This window comes from Homo sapiens, chromosome 17, assembly GCF_000001405.40.
Source record: "Homo sapiens chromosome 17, GRCh38.p14 Primary Assembly".
NCBI lineage: Eukaryota > Metazoa > Chordata > Mammalia > Primates > Hominidae > Homo > Homo sapiens.
This window is the reverse complement of record NC_000017.11, coordinates 50,336,709-50,361,665: the sequence shown is the minus strand read 5'-3', so window position 1 is coordinate 50,361,665 and position 24,957 is coordinate 50,336,709. Positions and strand designations below refer to the sequence as shown.

At 52.2% G+C, this 24,957-nt stretch overlaps 1 protein-coding gene across 4 annotated transcripts, besides 4 other annotated features; it reads right to left on the bottom strand.

Moving 5' to 3' along the window:
* On the bottom strand, positions 481-15,540 carry XYLT2 (xylosyltransferase 2). Of its 4 annotated transcripts, none has more exons than NM_022167.4 (11): positions 15,391-15,540; positions 7,544-8,036; positions 7,083-7,258; positions 6,610-6,812; positions 6,085-6,165; positions 5,669-5,885; positions 5,405-5,581; positions 4,893-5,155; positions 4,414-4,609; positions 3,126-3,459; positions 481-1,697 (listed from the first exon to the last, which is right to left on the bottom strand). In NM_022167.4, the coding sequence occupies exons 1-11, from the start codon at positions 15,523-15,525 to the stop codon at positions 1,375-1,377; spliced, it is 2,598 nt and encodes an 865-aa protein (NP_071450.2). In that variant the 5' UTR covers positions 15,526-15,540; the 3' UTR covers positions 481-1,374. The 4 variants fall into 4 exon arrangements, 3 of the variants coding, with proteins under 3 accessions (NP_071450.2, XP_005257629.1, XP_047292478.1); XM_005257572.5 differs by lacking the exon at positions 15,391-15,540 and adding an exon at positions 14,732-15,289; XM_047436522.1 differs by lacking the exon at positions 15,391-15,540 and adding an exon at positions 9,647-14,716.
* Positions 14,124-14,418: a silencer, noted in NCBI's record as "tiled region #10047; K562 Repressive non-DNase unmatched - State 2:TssF". NCBI's record gives its function as "represses a minimal TATA promoter and a strong SV40 promoter by Sharpr-MPRA in K562 cells {active_cell/tissue: K562}" and the evidence as "EXISTENCE:reporter gene assay evidence [ECO:0000049][PMID:27701403]".
* Positions 15,234-15,323: a silencer, noted in NCBI's record as "silent region_8696". NCBI's record gives its function as "represses an Ori minimal core promoter by ATAC-STARR-seq in GM12878 lymphoblastoid cells {active_cell/tissue: GM12878}" and the evidence as "EXISTENCE:reporter gene assay evidence [ECO:0000049][PMID:35858748]".
* Positions 15,394-15,493: a silencer, noted in NCBI's record as "silent region_8695". NCBI's record gives its function as "represses an Ori minimal core promoter by ATAC-STARR-seq in GM12878 lymphoblastoid cells {active_cell/tissue: GM12878}" and the evidence as "EXISTENCE:reporter gene assay evidence [ECO:0000049][PMID:35858748]".
* Positions 15,554-15,753: a silencer, noted in NCBI's record as "silent region_8694". NCBI's record gives its function as "represses an Ori minimal core promoter by ATAC-STARR-seq in GM12878 lymphoblastoid cells {active_cell/tissue: GM12878}" and the evidence as "EXISTENCE:reporter gene assay evidence [ECO:0000049][PMID:35858748]".

Here is a 24,957-nt window from a genome sequence, read left to right as displayed (position 1 = left end):
CTTGCTGGGTGGCAAAGAAGAAGTCTTTGAGCCTCTCTGGGCCTGTTTACCCCTCAGAAAAAGGAGCTGGATTAGATGTTTTTTGAGACAGGGTCTCACTCTGTCACCCAGGCTGGAGTGCAGTGGTGCAATTTTGGCTCACTGCAGCTTCAAACTCCTGCTTCAGCCTCCTGAGTAGCTGGGACTACAGATGTGCGCCACCACGCCTGGCTAATTAAAAAAAAATTCTTGTAGAGACGAGGTCTCACTGTTTCCCAGGCTGGTCCCAAACTCCTGGGCTGAGGTAATCTTCCTGCCTCAGCCTCCCAGTGTTGAGATGACAGGCGTGAACCCCTGCACCCAGGCTAGATGGGTTCTTGAGTCCCTCTGGGTGGATTCTAAACTGTTCTTAATCTGGAGGAATGAGATCTTTACCTTCTCAAGGCTACCAAAGTACCAGCTAAGACTTCTGGAGAAGGCCCAATGAATGGTGATGGCTTCCTGACACCCAGGAGGAAAAACACAGAGCCCAGAGTAGAGAGATAGAGATATATTTCTTCTGTTGCATATTTCAGACTTCACGCTGAGCTTCAGGCACAATTACTCCAGGTTCTTCTGAGAGTCTTGACAGAGTCTTCTTCCCACGCTGCTCATGTGACCTCACTTCCAGTGCACACCTGGAAACTCTGCATGGGTCTCAGTGGGCCCTGACCCTGCCTTTCCCATCCAGGGGCAGGGTATGCTGGAAAGCCCTGGAGCCGCCCCACCCCACTTCTAGGGTCCCCTGGCTACAAAAGAACTGTCCTGCTAGAGCCCAGCTCTGCAGCGCCCCCGATATCACCTGTTCTTCGGGCCTTAGAGCCTGGCAGGGCACTTGCAGCCCTGTGGAGCCTCAGCCACGAGCACCACAGGCCCAGAATGGGGCATGAGGCCCTGGAGAGTGAGGCAGGCCCAGCCTCGTGCAGAACAATAGCAGGTGGGCTCAGCAAGCCCCTGCTCCCCACAGACATGGCCCACTTCCTGGGGCTGCTCTGAGCCCTATTGCACATCTTCTGTTCTAGTTTCTCTCCCAACCACCCATTTTCCTTTTTAAATTAAAAAAAAAAAAAAAAAAAGAAAAAAAAGAAATTCAAACTAGACAGGAAGGTGAGGAAGAGCTGGGTGTGGAATGCTGCTGGTGCCCTTCTCGCGTTCCCGCCAGCCCTCTGATCCCCAACAGAGACATCAGCAGTAGTTCATACTGTGTCCACCTTCCCTGCCGTCTGTGTGGGTTCTTGATGGCTGAAATGGGTGTGCAGCCTGGGCCTCTGGTTCTTGCCTGTGGGAGGGGACACCCCTCCACTGTCTGTAAGGTGCAATTTCCCGGGTCCTCCACGGGTACTGGCTGGGGCCCTGCTACCTGAGTCGCCCGTCTGCTTTGACAGGCCCCAGCTCTGATTTGGGGTCGGGGGACAGAGAGCTCCAGCTGGTCAGTCTGCAGGGCTCCAGGGAGGGGCAGGGAGAGGGGCCTATGGCACACAGTCCAGCCACGGACCAGAAGCTGCTCAGTTCCCTGTCTGTCCAGGCCTCGAGCGCAGGGCCTGTGAGCTGTGTGTGCCGCTGGGCAGCCTCCTCCGCGAGCTCCGGCTGAGGCAGGTTCAGGATGCTACTCAGGCCCTGGAAACTCTGCTCCATGTACTCGTTGTGGGGTGGCCCTGCGTGCAGCCAGCTGGCATCATCTGTGGGTGCAGAGCAGGCAGTAAGCACACCCCCTGCAACAGACTCCGTGGAGGCCAGACCCAGGAGTTGGGTCTGGGTACCCCAGTTCCTGTCACAGCCCTACTTCTGAGTCACAGCTTGCTGAATGACCTTGGGCTAATCCAAGGGACTTTCTGTGCCTATAAAACTGAGTTTTATAAAATCAAGGCAGTAAGCCTTAGATTCCCAACTTTAGGATGCAGTAAAGCAGTGGGTTCAAGGCACTTTAGAAAAGGGAACAGTCTGGTTTGTGTCCCATACCCTTTCTTGACCATCATTGGTGGCTCCTAGAGCCCTCAGAAGCCTGTACTCGGGCACTTCAGCTCTTCATGCACAGACAATGGCCAGCTTTGTCCCCTTGGCTTAGAGCACCTCCTCTGACTTTGTCCTTGAGGCGCAGCCCCTGTCCCTACCTGCTGTGCATTGTTGCCATTCTTCCCTTGACTGGGAGGTCCAGGTGTGCGGGGGACACAGCTTGCCTGCCCTGGATCTGCTGCAGCCCCACCAGCACCCCCTCCTCCTCTAGGGTACCCCACCTCTTAACCACCTTCTTGTGATAGGACGTGGTGGGGGAAGGAAACACCTACCAATTGATCACCTCCTGCATACCGGCCACTTTCCCTCCAGAGGCTCATCCCTCATAGCTCCCAGGGGGAGTTACTTATACTAGGCCCTCCCTTGCAGGAAATTTGCCCAGCCTGTGTCTCTGTTCAGAGCCTGCTCCCTTAGCCTCAGCCAAATGGGCAGAGAGCCACATGACCCTGCCCACCTGGCCAGACAGTGGACTGGGATAGCCAATCAGATTTGCTGTCCCAAGAATGTGAAACCTGGGGACTAAAAGTCTCTGGTCAGTGTCTGTTGCACTGAGAGGCCATGGATGGGGAGCCAGAGCCTGAGGCCAATGCATAGAGACAGGACAGGATGAGGAACAAGATAGCCCCAGAGAGATGGAGAAAGCACCTCTGGTTCACAGTGAGGCCTGAGACATTTCCTAGCTTTGTGAAGGAGACCTCTGCATTCTTCCAGTCTTCTCCCCTTTTTAACTCAAGCTAGGTTGAGTGGATTTGTGTTGCATGAACCAGGAGGTCCCTGATAGGTGTACTATTCCAGCTTCACGTGCTAAGACTGAGGCCCAGGAAGGCCAGGTAACTTCCAAGGACAAAAAGCCAATGAACTTGTGAGAGTTATGTTCCAAACCAAGTGTGCATGACTGTAAAGCTCCCTTTTCCACCACACTGCAGTGCAGGACCCTGCATGCTACAGGAAAGAAGATGAAGGCCCCAGCCCTTCCATGCTTCCCTGACTCTAGGGATGGGAGTCAGCTCTGATGGTTGGCTTCTTGAGGTCACCTCTCTGGCGAGTCCTATTCTGTCTGGCTTCTGGGCCTCATTTGAGAACTGCACGCTTACCTTTCCTGAGAGGTAGTTTGCGGTTGAAGGTCAAGGGCAGCACAAGGAAGCGGGTCTCACCCAGCGGTTCCCAGAACTGAAGGAGTCGAACAGTCCAGGGCCCTGGCCGCAGGGGCCGGCTCAGTGGGGGCTTGTATTGCGTGACCTCAGTCTCCGTATCTACTGTGATGTCATAAGATGTGGCCACCACATAGGTTGGGTCGATCCAGACCACTGTGGCTGTGAGGTTGGGGCCCCGGGCCCAGCGCTGCACGGCCACAGGCTCGTCCAGCGGCCCCAGTAACCCCCCAAAGTTCCGGAAAAGACGCTCTTTGGGGTCCCAATCAGTGCCAACCTGTAGAGAGAGAGGCAGCTGGGCAGGAGTGTGGGGGAAAGGTCCTTCTCCCTCCTCTGAAGCTGCCTCTCACTGTGTAATCTCAGGCCAGTCACTGTCTCTTTCTGGGCCTCAGTTTCCCCATCTGCAAAATGAAGGGGTCAGACTAGGAGACCTTTAATATCTCTCCCAGCTCTGAGATTCGTTCTAGGCTTCCATTCTGACTGCTAGGCAGTGGAGGTCAGTCCCCCTTATTGGGGACAATACGGCAGGGATGAGGTTCAAAGTCCTGCCCAGAGACCATTCCCACATGAAGCCAAAGCCTCTGAGAAAGAGACTATGAGGAGGGGCCAGGCGCGGTGGCTTGCGCTTGTATTCCCAGCACTCTGGGAGGCCGAGGCGGGTGGATCACAAGGTCAGGAGATCGAGATCATCCTGGTCAACATGGTGAAACCCCGTCTCTATTAAAAATACAAAAAAAAAAATTAGCTGGGCGTGGTGGCGCGCGCCTGTAGTCCCAGCTACGCGGGAGGCTGAGGTAGGAGAATCGCTTGAACCTGGGAGGCAGAGGTTGCAGTGAGCCGAGATTGTGCCACTGCGACAGAGTGAGACTGTCTCAAAAAAAAAAAAAAAAAGACTATGAGGAGCCACTCAGAAGTGTAGTTTCATGGCCCAACTCGAATGTCCCTGCCCCTCTAGGCGAAATCTCTGTAGTCTGGAAGATTGGGCTTGTGTTGTAGTGGAACTGATAATTCCCTCCCTGCTCCCTGCATGTCCTCTGCATACCCCAACCAGGAGGTGCTCCTCAGTGTGCACAGGCTGGGGGGTGACACAGGATGTCTGCATGGGGGCATCACCATGGCTGCCATGACTGGGAAAAATAACCTTACCCCTCCCTTGGTGTCTGTCCCTCTCTTCCCACTACCCCAAGTCTGGGTGGGGGTTGGGAGAAAGCAAGTGGGGGACCTGTCCCACCTCCAGACTCTGGAGCCGGCTGGCCTGGTCACTGCGCCCCAACAGCTTCAGCGACCCTTGGGGCATCAGCCACATCTCAAGCGTCTCTGCCGGCCCCTGGGCTGAGGGCTGCACCGCCTGCGTCACCAGGTAGCCCTGGAAATGGTCGTCATAGAAATACAGGTGCACGCTGGACGGCAAGCCCCTGGGCTCAAACCTAAGGTGCCAGCAGGGAGAAAGGGAGATGCCATCAGCACACCTGACTTGGCCTGGAGTCCCAGGGAGGGGGCTCTGGGGAGTCCCATCCCCAGGCACTTCCTTTCCCCAGATCTCACCCCCACAGCACCTGCATGCCTGGCTCTAGCCGTCTTTTCGGTATTTGCATTTTTCCCTGCTTCAGACTGGGGCCTTGTTGTGGGCAGGGGACGTCACTCTCTGGTTGGCCTCCCCCTAGGGCACCACACCCCAAGGGCCTGCTGTATGTCAGAAGGGGGTCTCACCTGCAGAGTGGGGTGCCCATTGGGGGTGCAGCAGTGGCGGCATGGTGCAGGCTGAGGCGGGCGAAGGCTGTGTAAGCAGTGAGCATGACATCACTGAGCCCACTGGGGCCATCAGCCGCGTCGTAGGTGTTCTCCCAGTAGGCCTTGAGGGCTGGCGTGCCGGGGGGGTAGCTGCCATACAGGTGGAAGTCCAGGATTTCCAGCACCTCCTGGTTCACAGTCGACTCGAACTTCCGGGCGAAGAAGGTGGGTCTGGAGACTTGCTGGAGTGGGAGAGGCAAGGAGGGTGAAGGGCTCTGGAAGCCCCAGAGGGCATGGTGGGGCTGGCCCCTCAGCACTGCCTAGAGCTCAGCCTCCTGCGGCTTTTCCTGCTGCTGTTGTAGCCCCAGACCCCTGAGGGTTGCTGCAGGCCGTGGCCCCCCAGATTCTCTTACTGGCCCACCCTGCCATTTTCCTGGTGAAAAGCCAGGGGAGAAGACCTAGCCAGGGGCCTTGGGGCCTCGGGCAAGCACCTGCAGCCGGAGGAAGTCCTGTGGCTTGAAGTCGTTGGGGGAGCAGCCACACCAGTCCACAATGTGCTTGTACTGGCACTTGCAGCCCAGCTTGCGGTTCCAGTTGGTGACCCGCAGGTTGTTGTCCACGAGGGTCTCACAGGCCAGGCTGTTCTCCAGCACCGTGTGGAAGAAGGACTGCAAGCAGCAAGGGAGAGTGGAAGGTGAGCTGCAGGCAGCCCAACCCACGCCCTCCCTGGCCTTCATGCCTGCTGGGCTACCCACCTCGGCTGGGAGCAGTGTGTATGTGTAGAACTGGCGCAGCTGGGCCACAAGCGGGTCATCTGTGTACACCACATACTCCACAAAGCTGCGTGTCAGCACGAACCAGTCAGAACCGCCATCCACCACAATGCCTGCTGGGATCTGCCGCTCGCCCAGGCGCCACATGTGTGAGTCGCACTCATGGAAGAGCCGGTCCAGGCCCTGTTTCTTGATGAACCTGTGGGCAGCAGAGAGGCCATGGCTGGGGATCCTGCAGGGTGGGGTCTAAGCTCTTTCACCCGCCTGGCAACCAACACTCCTCAACCTGTGACTGGTGTGGAGGCTTTGAAACCCAGGGCTGGAGCCACCGAGCCCAACTGTGTGGGAGGGGTTGGGACAAGACTCTGGGGCCAGGGCCTCCTTCCCCACCCCCTCACCTGGAGTTGTCCCGGCCATGTGACTTGAGGAAATTCTTGTCCCGGTTCTTGGATAGGAATGCCACCAGCTCCTCATTGGTCCTGGTGAAGGAATGGGGTGACAGGCAGCCACATGAGATAGTTGCTCAGTCACTGGCCCAGAGCGGACCTTCTGGCTTTTCTTCTCTGCCTGATTGCTGGCTGGCCATGTGCCCTACCCCTGGCTGATGTCTGGGGTGGTGAGCACCAGAGGCCCCTGAGGAAGACCACCCCATCCTTCCTCTGCCCCTTGCTGTCTGACCCAGAACACCAGGTACAGACCTCTGGCTCCTCCTCCTCCCCATCTCCTATCATGCTCAATTCTTAGATCATCTTACACCAACCCCTCCCCTAAAACATAGCTGGGGCCCAGGGGCCCATGTCTGAGCAGGGCGGATCCCAGAGTTACGCTTATGGGGCAGAGAAGGTCCACCAAAGCCCTCCAACCCCAGGTGCCCAGACAGGGGTCCCCTCCCATGCAGAGGACTCAGAGCCCCATCCCCACACCTGGTTGGATAGTCAGTGGCACTGAGGTTGATGAAGAAGTCCCAGGCCCAGCCAGGCACCTCTAGCAGGTCCCGCATGCTCCGCAGGTACATCCTCAGGAGGCTGGCCCCGCCCCAGATGGTAACCATGCGCCAGGGCGTCACCCGCACGTTATCATAGCCCTGGGCCAGCTCCACCACCTCCCGGTGCAGGTAGTCGGAACGCTGGTGGGGAGGAGACACTCAGCTAGCCTCCAGTGTTATCGCCATCCCCAATCCCACCCCAGGACAGAGTGAAGGGACACAAGACGAGGAAAGCACAGGGCAGGGCTCCAGCCCCTAAGCGGCTGAGCTGGCTCGTGCTGCCACTCCCCTGTTCAGGGCCTCAGTTTCCCTCCTAGGCTACCTGGGCCAGGTCAGAGACTCTGTCTGTCTGCAACCTTCTGTTTCTGCTCTGCTCATCCCAGACCCCTTGGCCTCTCCCCACCACAGTACCTTGTCCACATGGATGTAAAAGAAGTGCTGCTCGTGATAAACGGCCTTGAGGAGACGCTTCAGCTGGCGGATGGCGCGGCCGTGAACCACCAGCATGTAGGCGATTCGCACCGGGGGGCCATCCATGGGCTGCTGGGCTTGGCTCTCATCCCACTGGATGCCGGGGCTCATCTTCCCTGAGAGCAGAGGACAGGCGTTGGCGAGGCCCACCCTAGGTCACAGGGTGGGGGTGAGATGGGAAGAGGGAGCTGCCTGCCTTCCGAAGAAACCTAGACTTGGAGCTCCATGCTCGTGGGTCCCCACTCTGCCTCTGCCACTTAGTAAGTACACTGGATGAAGACTTAGGCAGGGAGGTAGGATCCCCTTGGCTCTTTCTTCCTCAGAGAGATAGGGGTGAGGATCCGGGCCATGCCACCCCCCTGCCCCCGCCTGGGAAGGGCTGGAGCACCCCTGTCCCTCACCAGTCAGCTGACAGTGCCGGGGCACAGCCTTGGGCATGAGGCTCCCAGCCTGGTGCAGGCACACCACATTGGCGATCTCCTGCTGGCACTGCTTGGTGCTGGCCCGGGCCAGTGCAGACAGTGCGTCCTTGCCCACGATCTCGCACTTGGGGGTGAAGCCATTGTCCGTGGGCTGGGGGGCGCCCTCCACGCTCCCTGTATCTCCGTGTGGTGGGAAGCCAGCTGCCCCTACCAGCGCCTCCCCAGCTGCTGCCCCACTCAGGTTCTGGCGGCCTGGGGCTTCCGGGGGTGGGGCAGGTGGGACCCGCCGGCTGGCTCTCTGCCGGCTGGTTACTGCCCGTACCACCTTGGCCACGGGCACTCCTGGGCTCTCAGCACGGCCCCGCCAGCGCCCATGCCTTCTGCCTGTGCTGCCCCGTCGCCCTGCTGAACTGTCTGTGTCCTTGGAACCCTCGCCAGGGTCCAGTGGCCGTGGCTTCCTCTGCCTTCCTTTCTGTAAGAGAGATGCAGACACATCACTGGGGCAGACCCTCACCTCCTCCTGTTCCTTGAGTTCCATCTTGGTTGGGGGCACCCTCAGACCTAGATGTTCCTGCCCACCTTTTACCCAGAGAAGCGCTTTTCACCTAAGGACTCCGCACAATCAGTACCACCATGGGAGCACCTCCCTGGCCAGCCACTGAGGGCGCACTGGGCCTCCCTCCATCATACCAACACCCCCGTCCCCCACTGGCTCTCAGATTACATGGCAGTGTGCTTGGTTTTCTGTTCTGGACTCAGATACCACTTCCTTTTTCAGCAGATGTTAAAATAAATATCTACGTGTGTCCCAAGGGAAGGGTGCAAAGACCCCACCGAGGGTACAAGTGTCCACCTAAGACCCAGCACTCCCACCGAGGGCTGGAAGGAGACAGTGGTCTTCAGAAGACTCTAACTTCCAGATGAATCCAAAGCATTTCCATGTGGGAAGACTGAGGCCACCTCACAGCGAAGGAGGAGTGCCCATGGGGGATGATGGAGGTGAAGCCTGAGACCCCAATACTGCTTAGGTCCTCTAGGAAGCAGATCAAGACAGAGTGAGAGGGCATGAGATTCACTGCGGGTACCCCTGTGAACGATGGGGCAGGAGCTGGCAGGGAAAGGCTTTGGACCGCAAAGGAGACGGCCATGCAAGGAGAGGGGCAAGAAGAGCGTCCACCTCCAGCACAGCCTCGAGGAAGTCCTGGCCGGCTCCTGGGAAAACTCCGGCACATGTACTGCCTGGAGCTGGTGAGCCCTGAGCCACCTCCACACTCAGTCCCTGGCTTGAAAGCTGAAGCAGGGCCTGAAGGTGCCCACAGCTGGAGGCTGTCACCTCGCTGCATGTGCAGCAGGTTCTTCCTTGAAGGGATCCCTGCAGCGGGGCGCCTCTACCGCTGCTGCGCCCCTGCTTCCTGGCTCTAAGTGCTCTGGTACCTGCTGCCTCTCCTCAAATCCAGGCACTTCCCTAGATGGCCTGGTGGTGACTGAACAGCATGTCCAGCCACCTCCTCCTCCGTTCCCCCATCCTACTTGCCCTGCCTGACCAAATCCCATCCATGCTTTCAGATCCAGCTCCAAGGCCCCTGGCATGCAGCCATTCCATTTGCCCTGCAGTGGAATGGGCTGGGCTCCAAGGCCCTGGATGTTCCTCTAGTAGTGAACTCCTTGATGAGAGACATGTCAGCTCCATCTCTCCAGGGCCCAGCAGAGCAGCTGGCACACACGGACACCTAGCTGGTGTCTGATGGATGAGATGTAGAATGGACGGAGGAACAGGGGCCACCATGTGAACACTCTAGAGCCTCCAGGGCTCTGGGCCTAGCTCTGCCAACTCACCAGCAGTTCCCTAACTTCTCTGAGCATGCTCCCCCAGCTGTAAGGAGTAACAACTGAGCATGAGACACTGCAGCTAGGGAGAGCCGTCTCCAGCCTTGTAAACCCTCTCCCACGGGCCTTCCCCTCCATGCTCACAAGTTCTCCAGGACTAAGTCCTCTTCTTTCTTGGCCTTTCAGCAGCGTGACTTAATGGACCACTCTGTCTTGCTTGAAGCACCCTCCGCATTTGCTTTCCAGGATACCCACCTGGCTTTTCTCCTCTCTCCACTGCCACTCCTTATGGTCTTCTTGGTGCTTCCTTGTTTCCCAGGGCACATCTGGGGGCCCTTCCTGTCCTAGCACCTTCACTTCCTAAGTGACTTTCAGTCTCTGGGTTTCTGAACTCCATCCCAAATCTCAGATTGACCTCTCTGGCCTGGATAGCTCCCTTGAACGTTCAGGCATTTAACTACCAGCCTCCTTGACATCTCACATGGGAGCTCGATAGACCTCTCAAAGCCACAAGCCCAAAAGTACCTCCTGCTCTTCGACCCCAACCTGCTCCTACTTCATCTTCCCCATCTCAGTTAATGACATCTCCATCCTTCAGGATGCTCAGGCCAAAAACTTTTAGGAATCATTTTTTTTTCTTTTAGATAGAGTCTTGCTCTGTTGCCCAGGCTGGGGTGCAGTGGCGCAATCTTGGCTCACTGCAACCTCTGCCTCCTGGGTTCAAGTGATTCTCCTGCCTCAGCCTCCCGAGAGGCTGGGACTACAGGCACATGCCACCATGCCTGGCTAATTTTTTATTTTTAATAGAGATGGGGTTTCACCAAGTTGGCCAGGCTGGTCTTGAACTCCTGACCTCGTGATCCACCTGCCCTGGCCTCCCAAAGTGCTGGGATTACAGATGTGAGCCACTGCGCCCAGCCAGGAGTCATCTTTGACTCTCTTTCCCTCACACCCCACATCCACTCCATCAGTAAATCCCATCGGGGCCACCTTCAGAATACATGTGGAATGCCATCCCTTCTCAACACCTCCCTCACTATCCCTGCCTGGATTCCCTGGTCTTCCAGCTCCTACTCTTGTTCCCCTAAATTCCGTTCTCATCACAGCAGCTGGTGTTTCTGTTACAACTCTTAAAATCCCATTTCACCACTCCCCTGCTCCAAACCTCCAGTGGCTTCCCCTCTTAGGATAAAAACCAAGGCCCTTACAGGAGCCTACAGAGGCTCCATGAGCTGTCTGGATGCCCCCTTCTCCACCCAGGCCTCTCTGACCTCATCTGGGAATTTGTCATGCTCACTCTCCTGCAGCCACAGTGGTTTTCTCTGCGTCCCCTCATCCCCCCTGGCACTCCTGGCTCCAACCCTTGCACCCACTATCCCCTGTGCCTGGCAAACCCTCCCCCAGATAGCCCCACTGCTCACACTCCTTGCCTCCTTCAATTCTTTGTTCAGATGGCATCTTCTCAGTAGGGCCACCCAGACCACTGGATTTACAGTGCCAGCCCTCCCTCCTCCTCTGCTTTTCACCATCGCACAATATTTCCTCTCATCCTACTATTTATTTATACTGTTTTTTTAATTTGTCTTTCTCCTCAGAAGATTGTAAGTTCCCCAAGGGCAGGGCTTTTTTCCTGTTTTGTTCACTGACATAGTCGTAGCACCTAGGAGAGTGTCTGGCTGTAGTACACACTCAGTAAGTGTTTGTTTTTCTGAGGCAGTCTCACTCTATTGCCCAGGCTGGAGTGCAGTGGTGCAATCTCGGCTCACTCCAACCTCTGCCTCTTGGGTTCAAGCGATTCTTGTGCCTCAGCCTCCCACGTAGCCGGGATTACAGGTTCGCACCACCATGCCTGGCTAATTTTTTGTATTTTTAGTAGAGACAGAGTTTCACCATGTTGGCCAGGCTGGTCTCGAACTCCTGACCTCAAGTGATCCACAAACCTTGGCCTCCCAAAGTGCTGGGATTACAGGCCTAAGCCACTGTGCCTGGCCTTAGTATTTTTTGAATGAATGAATGAATGAATGCAAAGCTTTTGGCATAGGCACAGCATTCAGTAAGTACTGGTACTTTTTTTTTTTTTTTTTTTTTTTTTGAGACGCAGTCTCACTCTGTCGCCCAGGCTGGAGTGCAGTAGCGTGATCTCAGCTCACTGCAACCTTTGCCTCCCAGGTTCAAGCGATTCTCGTGCCTCAGCCTCCCAAGTAGCTGGGATTACAGGTATGTGCCACCATGCCTGGCAACTTTTTGTATTTTTAGTAAAGACTGGGCTTTACCATATTGGCCAGGCTGGTCTCAAATTCCTGACCTCAAGTGATCTGCCCGCCTCAGCCTCCCAAAGTGCTGGGATTACAGGCGTGAGCCACCATACCTGGCCCAATGCTGCTATCTTTATCATTATGATTACTCAGATGGGAGGAGGAAATTAGTCAAACGTGAAGTCAAGAGAGACCCAAGATCCTGGACATCTTGGACTCGGCTGGGTTGGGTTCTCTGTGCTCCTCACCTCCCCAGGACTTCCCCCAACCTACCCACTACCCTACCCACACCCTACCCACTACCAGTATGGGCACATCAGGAACCTCATGCTGTCAGGCTGACAGCTACCTTCAGGCCAGAGCCCCATGCCTACATCCATGCCCTCTGTGCCTAGCACCCAGCCAGCCTTCTGATCTTTTTATTTTATTTATTTTAATAGAGATAGTCTTGCTATGTTATCCAAGCTGGTCTCGAACTCCTGGACTCAAGCGCTTCTCCCACCTTGGCCTCCCAAAGTGCTGAGATTACAGGCATGAGCCACAGTGCCCGGTTGCCCTCTGATCTCTTAAAGGTGGCCAGTGGGAGCTGGGGGCGCCCATTCCCATCCGAGAAGAGATACCTGCAAGAGGAGGCAGCAGACCCTATTCTCTACCCACACTGGGGAGGGCACCACAGGCTGGGGAATCCCTAGGAAAGGTAAATGCAGCCCCACTGAGCTGAGTGTGCATCAGCCTGGTGACATGTGAGCTGGCTACAGAGCACAAGCAGAGAAAGACATTCCCAAGCTTAGGTGGGTAGATGGCAGAGAGCTGTAGGCTCTCCGAGTGGAAGCCAGTATCAGTGAGTTAGGAAGCTGGTCAGGAGGGCAGGGCATGAGGCACGGGGCCAGGTTGGCTGTGGTGGGGGCCAGGATGTGGGAGGAGATGGGCATGTTGGTCCCTGCACTGCAGTGGGAGCTGGCTGACCCTGAGAAGGACAATCCCAGAGGAGGCTGGGGGATGAGGAGGCAGCAGTGAGGGAGCAGAGGCCCTGGTGGGCAGTCAGCCCCCACCTCCATCCCTTCCAGGCATGTCCAAGGAGCATCGTCATCACAGCCCCAGCCTTGTGCCCCTCACAGGCTGCCCCCAGCAGCCCCTGAGGTCAGGAGCCCTTCTGATGACTGAGGGTAGGGAATGGTCCTCTGACTTCTGGCTGGGATACATTCTGGCCTCAGAGGCTCCTTCCTCTCCTCCAAGGAGGCGATTAAAATCCTCTGCCACTTCCTGGCTCTGTAGCTCCACCTTAGAATCCTTCTCTGAGTCACAGAAAGGGTGAACACAGAAATGCTCCCCCCATACCCCACCTCCTTTGACTTCTCGGGCTGCATTTAAAACAAGTGGTGAGATGGTGTTTGTGGAAGCTTTGGAAACTATAAAGTGGCTCTCTGGAGGTTCGTGACCATCCCTGGGATCCACTCTCAGCCTCTCCATAGATGGGCAGAGTGCACGTCTTAAATGCACACTGAATCCTGTGCTGCTTAAACCCCTTCAGTGCTCTCCCACTGCACTTAGAATAAAACCCTTGCCCCTTGCTCTGGTCCTTTCAGCCGCACAGAATGGAACCTTCTTTCAGGGAAAGCACCACACCCTCCTGTCCATTCCTCAAGGGTGCCCAGCTAAGCCCATTCTCCTCAGGCCTTCTGCCTGAACTCTCCTGCCCACCTCTTCCTGTGAGAAGCCTTTCCTGACCCCCTGATCTAAGCCAACCCCTTTGTAATTCTATTAAATTCCTTTTCGCTGTCTGTTTCTCTCTGTAGATTACCTGTCCATGAGGGCAGAGACCTCATCTATTTTATTTTTGTATCCCCAGTATTAGCACAGTGTCTAGTACAAAGTAGGACTTCACACCTATTTGTGGAATGAATGAATGAATGAATGAATCGTATTCCCAATGCACAGTGCTGGGATAATAAGAGTTATTTATTTACTGACAGCTGAGCATGTGCCAGGAACTCCTGCAAGTGCTTCACAGGCATCATTTTCACTTAATCTTTATAATCACCTAACACGGGAGGTGCCATTATTATCCCCATCTTGAGGAGGGATACTGATAAGGATAAGGGAGGAGGCAAAGTGATTTGCTGGTGGTCTTCTCAGGGTCAGAGCTGGAAGAGAGTGGTGAAGTGGGTGGTCCAGCTTCAGCACTCACCTTCCCATGCACCCCGTTATGCTGCCTGGCAACCCCAGAGTCAGGTGAGGGAGCAGCTGAGGGGGTCCAAGCAGCAATGGGTGCCTGGACCGCACAAGCTTTTTCAAACATTCCAGCCCAGGATTCCCCTATTCATTCAGCCAGGAAGCTGGAGGAGGAGGTGGTGGGGGATGGGGGCGGTAGCCCAGAGTGGTCACATATTCCAGGGTCAGAGGGCTCCCTAACTGCTTTGGCAGCCCATTCCATCTTGGAATGTCCCATCTGCCCAAACAGTCTTCTTACACTGGGCCTGAAACACTCTCCTACTTGCTTGTCCTACTTGTAGGTCTACACCCCACGGATGTCACGGAGCCAGCCCCACCCCCGCCCCCACCTCCTTTTGGAGTTATGGTCTCATGTGACTCTGTTCCAGCCCCCATCACCATCCCACCCTCTGGGTTCTCCCAAAAAAAGGCAAGGGCAGCTCTTCTGTCTCCACACCAGGCCTTCCAGACTGGCGAGATGCGGTAAGGGGTCGCGGGTATCGGGGCTTGCCGGAGGACAGCAGCAGATAGAGTCTCTGACCCGGAGCCCTGGAGGCAGCAGAACAGGGGCGCTGGGGGCAGGGAGGTCCTGACCTCTGGGCCACAGCTTAGGGCTGTGGTGTGGCCTGTCCTCTCCATCTCCGCAGCACGAACCCAGACCCAATGGACCCTTCCTCACCACACCGCTGAGGTGTCTGAGCCTCCCGCTGAAACCACATCGGGGAAGAGGGAGAAAGACCCTCGAGGCAGGGACTTGGGGGCTGAGACGGCTGTTGGTTGCCCCTGCTCTGCGGCTGGGGCTCTGTTACAGTCCCCATTCCCTTAAAGCCAGAGGGCCCCTCCCTAATTCCCTAAGGTCCTGAGGCCAACTCACCAGCTCAGTTCCTCCTCTCCCTGCCCTCCGGAGACCCATCCAGGTTCTTCAAACCCCCGGCTGAGGAAGCCACACCTCGGGAATACTCCAGTTCTCTCCTTCGGCGTCACTCCCTGTTCCTTCAGTTCCCGGGTACACACTTTGTCCCAGGCCTGAATTCCACCCCCGAGCTCCCCTTCCTCACCGGCCGCTGCCCCTCGGGCTCAGCTGGGGAAGGACGCCCTGAGTCCCTTGGCCCTACTCCTCCGCCCACGGCGCGCATATCCCCGCCCCCTCCCAACTTCAGAAAGTTTGGCCTGGGGCTCCCCACCTCCGAGCAGGTTCGGGCCCAGCCCCGCCTCCCAGCCCCGCTCGCCGCGCCTGACCTTCATCGCTCCCTTGGCCGGAGACCACCCTAGCATGACCTGCTCCCCCCGCCCGACTCCCAATCCACCAGGGCCCGGGTCTCCAGGTCACGCACTGCCCCCGCGCGCAGCTCCCTAGGCCTGCTGGGGAAGGGAGTGCCGGGGGCCGGATGCTCCGCTCTGGGCGACCGCCGGCGCCCCGCACGCACGCACGCGGCCCGTGCCCCACTTCCCCGGCTGGGGCCGCCCGCAGCCCCGCCAGGACCCCGCGCGCCCCCGCGCCCGGCCTGCCCGCCCGCCCGGCCGTCGGAGCACCTCGCCCGCCTCGTCCTCCTCCAGGCCGCTGAAGCTCCACACTACCAGGCCCTGCAGCAGCAGGATGGCCAGCGCCGTGGCAATCGCCAGCTTGTAGCGCCGCACCAGCTTCTGCACTCGCGCGCTCGCCACCATCTTCCTGCCCGGGACGCGGGGCGCGCGCCCAGCCCTGCAACCCGGCCGCGAGCGCGCGCACGGGCGCGGGGCTGAGCCGCCCCCCCTCCTCCACGCCTAGGGAGGCGGGCCGGGCGCGCGCCGGGGCGGGGCCGGGGGCGGGGCCTGCGGGGCCAAAGCACGGCGCACCGCAGGCTAGGGGTGGAGCCGGGGCTCGCAACACCTTCAGTCCCGGCAGTCGCGGGCGTGGGCTTGAGCGCGTGCCTTCTGCGCTCGTGTCTCCGCCGGTGCCCCTGGCTCCCACGTGTGCTCCCCTCCACCTGGACGGCGAGCGCCTGGTGCTGGGGAGTGGAGGGTCTGCGGCACAACCTCTCTTGCCTGGTGTCGGGGGTCGTGGGCGAGTTCAGTCCCACGCGGGTAAGCTCTCGGTCCCGGGGGCCCAGGGAACGCCAGGGCTCCCAGAGACGCCGCCTTGGGAGAGGGCGTGTGAGAGCCACAGGCGTCTGCTTAAAAACCTGGAGGCCGCACCTGCGGGGCAAAGTCTAACCCCTTGACTGGCATCAGAGAGCCTTCACGAATCCTCCTTTCCGCTCTGCGCTCATCCTAAGCATCCTCAGGCCGCTCCCAGAGTCGTGGTTCTCAAACTACTCTAGCGTGTGTTGGAGTCTCTTGGAGGTCTTGATAAAACAGATTTTTAGTGCCCCTCCTCCCTCCCCCAGAGTGTCTGCTTTGGTAGGTCGGTAGTGAGGCCTAAGCATTAGAATTTTCAGCAGGTTCCCAGGTGATGCTGATGCCTTTGCTCTGGGACCAAACTTGGAGAACCAGTAGACCTCGACACATGCTGCTCCCTCTGCCAAGTCCCCACCCCCTACACCATCAGTGGCATCCTCCCTGTGCGTCCCCAGCACTGTGCAGTGAGCACCAATCATACATCCGGTCGTGACTGCTCTGGGATCTCGCCCTGCCTTGGACACCCAGCAATGCTCAAGAAATGTTGCGGAAAGCAAGCAGGGGAGGCCCAGATTCCCGTCTAACCAGCTGTCCCTAACATTTGTTTGAGAACCCGGCGTGTTCAATGAGCACCGCATTGGACAAGGTCTAAGCACCTGCGGCCTTCCCTAAGCCTGGCAGGCCCATGGAGAGAGGGAAGGCGAGAAGAGCAAAACAGTGGCCACCAAAGCAAGGTGAATCCCCAGCTGGGGAAGCCAGGCACTGGGAGGAGGAAGTCATAAAAATAGCAAACACAAGTTAGAAGGTTTAAAGGGAAGACGTTAGGAACCACTACAGAGAGGTCTGGAAAGAGAAGTGGCTTACAAAAAAAAAAGTTTGAAAAGTTAGAAGGCCATGATGGAGGGGTTTGGAAGTTGCCACAAGGTTGGGTTGATGAGAGAATTCTAAACTGATGTGTACAGGATACACAAGCATTTGATGGTACATAAATAACCTCCTTTAATCGTCTTCTGCGCTTTAGCATTTGTAATCATTCTGTTCCTCCGCGTTTGTTAAATGGGAGAATTGTAAACTATGTTTCCGACGACAGTTTGGCTACTTAAGAGAGCCTACACTTCAATGATTTTGGAAAACATCAGTTGACATCCCGGCAATTGATATGTTAATTAAATATTGATCTTGTGTGCTCATTAAATCAGATCCTCTAGGGACTTCTACCTGCCAAGAATTCCCCCCACAACAATGAAAATAGCTTTATTTTTCACTGATTATATAAGTAATAAATATCCATTATATAACATTTAAACACTAAACGAATAAGAAAAAAAGTAAAAGTCACCTACAATCCCACCCCTTAAGATGATCATCATTAACATTTTAGTGGCTATCCTTTCCTTTCCTTTCCCCCATTTCTCTCTTTTTTTTTTTTTTTTTTTTGAGACGGAGTCTGCTCTGTTGCCCAGGCTGGAGTGCAGTGGCGCGATCTCGGCTCACTGCATGCTCTGCCTCCCAGGTTCACGCCATTCTCCTGCCTCAGCCTCCCAAGTAGTAGCTGGGACTACAGGCGCCCACCACCACGACTGGCTAATTTTTTTTTTTTTTGTATTCTTAGGAGAGACGGGGTTTCACCGTGTTAGCCAGGATGGTCTCAATCTCCTGACCTCATGATCTGCCCACCTCAGCCTCCCAAAGTGTTGGGATTACAGGCGTGGCCACCGCGCCTGGCTTTTTTTTTTTTTTTTTTTTTTTTTTTTTTTTTTTGAGTCTCGTTCTGCCACCCAGGGTGGAGTGCAGTGGTACAATCCCGGCTCACTGCAACCTCTGCCTCCCGGATTCAAGAAATTCTCCTGCCTTGGTCTCCCGAGTAGCTGGGGTTATAGGTGCGCGCCACCATGCCCGGCTTATTTTTGTATTTTTAGTAGAGACGGGGTTTCACCATGTTGGCCAGGCTATTCTCAAACTCCTGACCTTGTGATCCACCTGTCTCGGCCTCCCAAAGTGCTGGGATTACAAGCATGAGCCGCCGAGCCCAGCCCACTGTTGTTTTTTTTTTTTTTTTTTAAACAAATTCGTTATCTGGTTATTGTGGTGCCTGTAATTCCCAGCTACTCAGGAGGCTGAGATAGGAGGATCGCTTGAGCCCAGGAATTTGAGACCAGCCTGGGCAACATGGCAAGTTGTCTCTAAAAAATAATTAAAAATAAAATCCCAGATTATTGAGGTATAGCATGCATAGACTGGCTTAGATTTCACCATATAAATTGCAAGAATCATTGTTTCCCTCTGTCTCCTCTTCGGGTTCTCTAATAGGTTCCATTGTGCTTTTTTCTTTTATTGTAAAAAGTCTTGAAAATACAAAATGGTTTTCAGAAAAGCAGAATAGGAAAGCAGTCTTTAGTCATAATTGGGCTGCCTGCATGATATATTCTTTCTTATGTGAAGAAATGATCCTTATAGTCTTCATTTTTAGGGCTACTTTATGAGGCATGTATGCTGAATGTTTTCAAATGCATTTGCAGCAGCTAGAGTCCGAATTTGGTCCAACACCAGCAGGCATGGAGGTCCCTGCAGGAAAACCTCCAGGCTGTGCCTCCAAGCATCTCCTCGGGCTCTGTCCCGTGGCCTTTATCTGCTTTCTGCTTATCCATCCAGTTCCTTCTGATTGACACTTTACTAGGCTGTCTGCTGGCCCTGATCCTGGCTTTCCCTCTGGATGCTACCTTTGCGTGTACCCTCTGCCAGTCCACACCCACGCCAGCTCTGGATCCCTGGGTCCCTGCTTGTCAGGAAGTTCTAACACCTAGTGAAAGGATCATATGGGTTTTTCTAGCATGACCTAATGAGATTATGAAATATTTTAAAAATAATTTCCACATATTAAAACATTTTTGCATCCCTAGAATGAATGTTACTTGGTATTAGCAGCTGTTTTTTTTCTTTAAGTTGTAGTATAAGTTCAATTGGATTTACTAATATTTTATTTATTTATTTATTTATTTATTTATTTATTTATTTATTTGAGATGGAATCTCGCTCTGTTGCCAGGCTGGAGTTCAGTGGCACAATCTTGGCTCACTGCAACCTCTGCCTCCCGGGTTCAAGCGATTCTCCTGCCTCAGCCTCCCGAGTAACTGGGACTACAGGCACACATCACCACACCCAGCTAATTTTTCTGTTTTTAGTAGAGATGGGATTTCACCATGTTGGCCAGGATGGTCTCAATCTCTTGACCTCATGATCCGCTGGCCTGGGCCTCTCAAAGTGCTGGGATTACAGGTGTGAGCCACCGCACCTGGTCTTATTTATTTATTTATTATTTTGAGACAGGGTCTCACTCTGTCTCTTGGACTGGAGTACAGTGGCATGATTATAGCTCACTGTAACATTGAACTCCTGGACTCAAGTGATCCCCCGCTTCAGCTTCCTGAGAAGCTGAGACCACAGGTGCACCACCATGCTCAGCTAATTTTTAAAAAATTTTCTGTAGACACAGGGTCTCACTATGTTGCACAGGCTGGTCTCGAACTCCTGGGCTCAAGGGATCCACCTCAACCTCCCAAAGTGCTGGGATTACAGGCATGAGCCACCATGCCCGGCCTAAGAATGTTTACATCTATGTTTGTAATGGAGATATACCAGAAGCTGCAAAATCAGAGGTAACTTGTAGGCCTTGTTTATTTGACCAGCACAGGGTTTTGAAGCATTTGAGTTTGAATTCCTGAAGAAGGGGTGCACACTCACCAGTGCCTGCAGCTCCCACCTTTTCCTTTCATTTCATACCCAATCAGCTGCACCCATTTATGTTATTTTCTGGCTCTTGTAGACACCCCCAGTTTGTGGTTTTCTTTTCTCGTTGTTAAAGCTTTGGTAGATTTGGGAATCAGTTATTCCAGTCTACAACATAAGTTGAAGAGCATTTTTTAAATTCTGTTTTTGAAATAATTTATGTAACAGTAGACACTGCTATTCCTTAAGCATTTGAAAAGTCTTGCTAGCAAAAGCATCTAACAGGAGCCCTTTGAGAGCTAATTCTTTGGTAACTTCTGTTAAATAAAAATTATAGGAGGGCCAGGCATGGTGACTCACACCTGCAATCCCAGCACTTTGGGAAACTGAGGCAGGAGGATTGCTTGAGCCTAGGAGTTTGAGACTAGCCTGGGCAACATAGTGAGACCCTGTCTCTATAAAAATAAAAAAAAATTAGCCAGGCATGGTGGTGCACGCCTATAGTCCTAGCTACTAGGGAGGCTGAGGCAGGAGAATCATTTGAGCCCAGAAGGTTGAGAGTGTAGTGAGCTATGATTGTGCCACTGCACTCCAGCTTGGGCAACAGAAGGAGATCCTGTATAAAAAAAAAAAAAAGTATATATATATGGCTAATTTCCTGTGCTAGACCCCAACATACCAGACTAAAAATCAAAATGGAGTCACTATCTGACCTTGTGAGAAATCAAGAGAGAGAAATAATGGCCAATTTCCCAAACAGGCCAGTTTAAAATTTTAATTGGCATAAGTTCCCTCTGCTTTAATCCTTACATTACAAAGTTAGCCTGAAGTAACCTGATGTTCACTCATCAGTTATTTTCTATTGTTCTGTCTCTATATTCCTGCCTTACCACAAAAAAGTAACTTTGAAAATTAATGAAGATGCTCTTTGCTCATTGCATCTGCTGTTTTCAGCCCTTCTCTGTCTGTAAGCCCAACCTCCTCTGCTGGGCTCCCTGGAATACTTTTCTATTTTATGGGTGAAGTGTTGCCTGATTCTAGAATCACAAATAAAGCCAATTAAGATCTTTAAACTATTTTTGTTGTAATTTTGACTTTTGACCATCCTCCCATCTCCTGCCAAAAAATAGCACAAAATTCTGATAGCACAAAATAACCAATAGGGGGAAAATAGAGGTATTAAAGGACAAAATATCAATTTTGAAACCCCAGCATGAGTGAATCCATTTTGATTTTTAGTCTGGTCTGTTGGAGCCTAGTGCAGGAGCTCAGTACAAAACAATGGCCTCCTATAATTCTTACTTAACAGAATCAACATCGTCATTATGAATGTTATTCTAGAGAAAAATGTAAACACTCCACTGCATCTCTCTTATTTTTCTTTTGCAGTTATTTTATTTATATTGTATGTCAACAGTATGAAGTGTTCCAAAAATGAAAGGTCCACATATCTTTCATTTTTCTATTTAGCCAGCCGAGAGCCCATATGCAATATTCGCTTCCTCTTTGGTCCTCTAGTTGTCTAAAAAGCCTGTGGGGTGGGCACGTGTAATTCACCCGGGGATATGAACTGGGCTTCCACACCCAAGCTGAAGAGCACTGGTGATGGAATATTCTGCTCCTGCAAATCATCTTACTTCTACATGGGGTTGCTATAGGAAGCTGGTCCATAATTAGAAGTTGCCCATACGGGCTTTCACTGCTCCTCTGATCCACTTCCTTGACCTGCTTACTAAGCCTAGACAAAGTGCCCATTACTTGGACTCCCAGGGTTGCAGTCTCAGTGCTCAGCTCTTTCACCCCCAGATTCTATTGGCTAGTATATTTCCACTGTGAGAAGTAGAAACTCTGTCTCCACTCCATTCCAAGTGACTGAAACATTAATGAGGCCAGGTGTGGTGGCTCACACCTGTAATCCCAGCACTTGGGAGGCCAAGTGGGGGTGGATCATTTGAGGTCAGGAATTTGAGACCAGCCTGGCCAACATGGTGAAACCCTGTCTCTACTAAAAATTCAAAAATTAGCTGGGCATGGTGGCACGTGCCTGTAATCCCAGCTACTCAGGAGGCTGAGGTAGAAGAATTGAACCCGGGCGGTGGAGGTTGCAGTGAGCCAAGATCAGGCCGCTGCACTCCAGCCTGGGTGACAGAGCTAGGTTCGGTCTCAAAAAAGAAATAAATTAATAAATAAAATAATGAGGGGAAGGTTGGAAAGTTCATACTTTGACCCACTCTCTATTCTCCAAATACTTAACAATGAGAGATAAAGTTTTTAAAGGCATTGATAAGATATATACAAGCTTAAAAACAGGATAAACATTTAGGTGGATAAGAAAGAGAACAAACTGGAAAGCAAAGTGGTGAGTAGGACCAAAGCCAAGGGCCTATGGGGTAATGGGAACTAAAATGTTGCACAGGGAATGGGGGATGGAACCAGACTCTGGCAGCAGCCACAGACTAGAGTGAGGCTACCCTGCTTGTGAAAGGAGACTGAAAACAAAAAGTGCAGCTGACCAGATCTCAGGAGCTATGGCCCAAATGGTGGACCTAGGAAGGCTGCAGAACAAAAACAGCCTCACAACCCAGACTTAGGTCAAGCCATCCTCTAACTCTGGGTCTGCACATCTCCCAATATCAGTGAAGAGCATGAGTTCCCAACCACTATCACAAAACTATTTCTGGACTAGGGCACAGTGAATGCCATGACGAAACTAAACCCACCAGACAAAAAAGGAGAGAGTAAAAAGCACAATGCAAAAACAAAAATTCTCAGCTACAATGAGCCTGTAAACCCAAATTCCAAAGGACATGAAGAAATGGAATGATAAAAAAGATAGCCAAGCAATTCAACAACTGGAATATGAACTTTCTCCACATGAAATTCATCTCTTGGACTCATATGACAAAGACTTGAAAATAAGGATGGCTCAAAGAAGTAAATGAAGAAATCATCTGACAAACAAGAAATTATGAAACAAATGTAGATGAAAATGAAATGAAGATATACATATGAAATATAAATAATTATACATCTCAGAAATAAAAATGTAGAAAAGCAATAAAAATATCTCAAAAGATAGGGTGAACTTTAGACTGGATATAGTTGAAGATAAAATTAGTGAATTGGAAGATAGCTCTAAAGAATTGACAGTGAATGCAGCAAAAAGAGGTACTTTGATTAAAAATAAGAACAGTTTGAAGAGTAGGAGAATAGATTGAGAGACTCAAACTATGTATAACAGGATTTCCAGAGTAAGAAAATAAGGAAAATGGCAAGGAAATAATATTGAAGCTATGATAGCTGAGATTATTTCAGAATTCAAGGAAAATATTAGTAACATACAAGAGGATTTTGATTTTTAAAACTCAATCTGATACTCTAAGTTTTACTGTTTCTTTAATCAGTTTACATTTAGTGCCATTAATGGATTATTTGGATTTTCTTTGATTATGATTATTCCACATTTTCTGCTCACTGCCTTCTTTCTCCACTTTTTTTCCCTTTACTATATTCTGTTGGATTGGTAAAATCTTCTATTCTCCTTTTTCTCTTCCAGCAGTACCAGGGTTGGTACAGCTTTTATCAACTTACTTAATGGCTTTCCTTAATATTTTCTGTGCTATTCACTCCATTGGTGAGGGAGGGATTCCCATCCTAGGTTTACAGAGATGGCCAAACACACGACATTTGATTCTGGGCAGATGAGATTGACAGTAGTGTATTAGTCACATATACTCATAGCCCAGGGCAGGATATCACACACCATGCAGGGCCACACAGGGGTTGCGCTCAGAGACAGTGAGCAACTAAGGGCTGTGGGAGGCAGGCTTTGTAGTATCAAGAGGATGAGATGTCCCCTAGTTTCAGCAGGAAGATGTGACTGGCTTATGTGGATAATTATGCAGGCTGCAGGCTGGCAGGAAACTGAAACCCACTACTCAGGAATAAGCAGGAAGTGCTCCTGGTCCCCTTGATAAGGGGGGTTATTTGGCTGGGGGACCTTATCCAAGGGAGCAGAGTGAGGAGGTGAACTTGTGGCTAGGCCAGTCAAAGCCTCCCAATTTCACCGCATATAAAGTCAGTATCAGCATTTAATACTGCGCCTGAGTTTTAGGCCTTAAACGCATTTTGCTGTTAATTTTCCTTTCAGGGCTATATAGACTGTTCGTCTGCTATAATCTTCCTTAATAATTTAGAAAGCAAGAATTAGAATTCTTTAAAAAAATTTTTTTTTCTTTTTTTAGACAAGGAGCATCTTACTATATTGCCCAGGCTGGCCTTGAATTCCTGGACTCAGGTGATCCTCCCTCTTCAGCCACCCAAGTAGCTGGGACTACAGGTGTGCACCACTGTGCTAGCTCTAGAATTCTTTTTAAAATTCTACTTGTGTTTACTTACAACTTTTCAGATAATTTTAATGTGACATTGTTCCTCAGTGGGTAGGCCTGTGCAAACCTGTCGCCAAAGTCCAAGGAAACTGAGAGACTGAAGAAAAAGGCTGACAAATTCAGTTTCTTAGAAATAAACAATAGGAAATTAGAAACAGAAGCCAGGTCTGTGTCTTGTGCAGTGGCTGGCAGGGAGACAAGATGTTACCCCCTAAGACCCAGGGCTTATCTACCACAGGGAAGGGGTATATGTGATCCAGAAGGCAGGTGAAGGACAATTGAAGTATGATAACATCAAAGTTGTTTTGACCTAAGGGAGGTAAGTACCTGTTCTTACACAGGTAACAATAGATAGACTGGAAAGCTTAGAGGAATTCCCAGAATTGGGGCTAATCAGAAGTCATCATGGCGGCTTAGCCTCCAATATGGAGTTGCTTTAGCCTTCACAGATATTCAATGATCACAGTCCTCATAGAACTATAATTTTTATTTCCCATTGTAGAAAATTAGTTTCTCCCTATTCATCCCCACTTCTTTTCTCTCTCTACTATGTGAACAAGGATCATTCTCACTTGTTAAAAGTTCATCTGGGGTTATGAACTTTGTCATTTTGGTTTATAATGTAGCTAATTTCTTTTAAGGGAATAATCTCTCTTTTTTTTAATCTTCAGTTTTGAGACTATTTAAAAATATTTAGAGTAATGCATATATATTAACTTGTTCAATGCCCTTTGCCAAGTAGATAATTTAAAAAATTACTTCCTGAGGCAGGCAGATAGCTTGAGCCCAGGAGTTTGAGACCAGCCTGAGCAACATGGCAAAACCCCATCTGTATTAAAAATACCAAAATTAGCCAGATGTGGGACTACCGTCGGTAGTCCCAGCTACT

What these genes read in the sequence shown, in the direction of transcription:
- XYLT2 (NM_022167.4), bottom strand. Translation starts at nt 15,525, where the DNA reads ATGGTGGCGAGCGCGCGAGTGCAGAAGCTGGTGCGGCGCTACAAGCTG. An exon ending in AGGAGGACGAGGCGGGCGAG is followed by an intron (nt 8,037 to 15,390) that starts GTGCTCCGACGG and finishes TCTCTCTTACAG; the next exon opens with AAAGGAAGGCAGAGGAAGCC. An exon ending in TTTACATCCATGTGGACAAG is followed by an intron (nt 6,813 to 7,082) that starts GTACTGTGGTGG and finishes CCTCCCCACCAG; the next exon opens with CGTTCCGACTACCTGCACCG.